General features: G+C 42.9%; 1 pseudogene; it reads right to left on the bottom strand.

Moving 5' to 3' along the window:
* Nucleotides 1-249: 249 nt before the first annotated feature.
* Nucleotides 250-821, bottom strand: SUMO2P6 (SUMO2 pseudogene 6; annotated as a pseudogene).

Genomic DNA, 1,667 nt, shown 5'->3' with positions numbered 1-1,667 from the left:
ATTGTCCTTGGTTTTACAATGATAAATGAAAAACATTAAAATTCTCTAGTTGAACAAGGTATGCAAGGATTTTTATATTTTTGTTGTTGTTAAAACAGTGAGAGCAAAATAACTTACTGGAATATAAAGATAAGAGCTGAATGAGCATGCCACTAATGGAGGAAGGGGATATTTTCACAGAATCAGTATTTTTCCCCATCCCGTCTCCACTTGATGTCAATCAAAACATACCATTGGCTGTTTAGTTAAAAAAAATGCAATATGCTTGTGCACATATACCAGTTACTTTACATACAATAAAGGAATGGGGAAGGCGGAAGTGAAAGAATAGAGAAAACTATATGGTAGTAGTCAGGATGTGGTGGAACCAAGTTGCAGTTTTCTAATTGCGAATGTAATCTTGGTCTTTAAAGAACAGAGTTCTGGAGTAAAGAAGCAGGTTCCCTTTTCAGTAGACACCTCCCATCTGCTGTTGGAACGCATCAATTGTATCTCCATCCTCCATTTCCAACTGTGCAGGTGTGTCTGTTTCATTGATAGGTTGCCCGTCGAATCAGAATCTGATCTGCCTCATTGACAATCCCTGTCATTCACAATAGGCTTTCATTAGTTTACTAAGTGGTGTATGCCTCTTAATCTTAAACTGTGCCACAGAACCGTCCTGCCCCGCCACCTTCAAATTAATATGATCGTTGTTCTCAGTCTTGACTCCTTCCTTGGGCTTTTCGTCGGCCATGGTGAGCACCGGAGTCTCCTCAGCTGCCGCTTCACAAAAGAGGTACCAGGTCCGTACCAAACAAGCACACAAGCAGCACCAGGAGGCTTCATTCTACATTTGATGAGTGTAGGAACTATTCTGCATGTGCCAAAGTGTAGAAATCCTAAAATGAGTTACTTTGCACCTGTCTACCCCCATTGGAGTGAGAGTGTCATGAAGGTGGGACAGGGAGCTTGTCTGTAATTAACTGCTGCTCAGCCCCTTGCATTTAACACAGTATCTGGCTCATCAAAGAAGGAAGGAAGGGTTAAATGAATGAATGGCATAATCTCTGTCCTCAAGGAACTCACCCTCTGTAAACATACCAATGCAATGTTCTGCAATAGGAGCTCTGAGATGGAAGGAACAAGGGACTCTAGAAATTAAGGGAAGGGGTACCTGACCCAGCAGGGGGAAGGTCAGAGAAGTTTTGAGAAGGACGCAGTGATATACGAGCAGGGACTTACAGGGTGAATATAGTGGGTCAGCCTTCAAGGCAACAAGTATTGAGAGGTGGAGGGAACAGAATGTGCAAAAATAGGAAAGCACAGAGCACAGACATGGACATTGCTCCCTCACTAGACTGTGGGCTACCTCTTGCTCACTGTTTTCCCAGAGTCTAGAGTAGTGGTTGGCAAAAACTAGACATTCAGTAATTCAGTAAGTGTTTGTTAAATGAGTACGTGGAGGAGTAAGGAATGAAGCTTTAGCTGTGATGTAGACATGGCATTGAATCAAGCTTGAATGCACTGGAATGCTGGGGTGAGGATAGAGAGGAAGGGATCTATCTGATAGTGGTTTGAAATTAGTGGAGACGGTAGAGATGGGTTGGTTGGGTGAGCAAGTATGAACACGCTCTGCTTTATCCTATCCTGAAGACCATATAGGCTCTGTAAGGAGGATCTCAAAA

This window comes from Homo sapiens, chromosome 5 (genome assembly GCF_000001405.40).
Source record: "Homo sapiens chromosome 5, GRCh38.p14 Primary Assembly".
In the NCBI taxonomy this organism is placed as follows: domain Eukaryota; kingdom Metazoa; phylum Chordata; class Mammalia; order Primates; family Hominidae; genus Homo; species Homo sapiens.
This window is presented reverse-complemented; position numbering and strand designations above follow the sequence as displayed.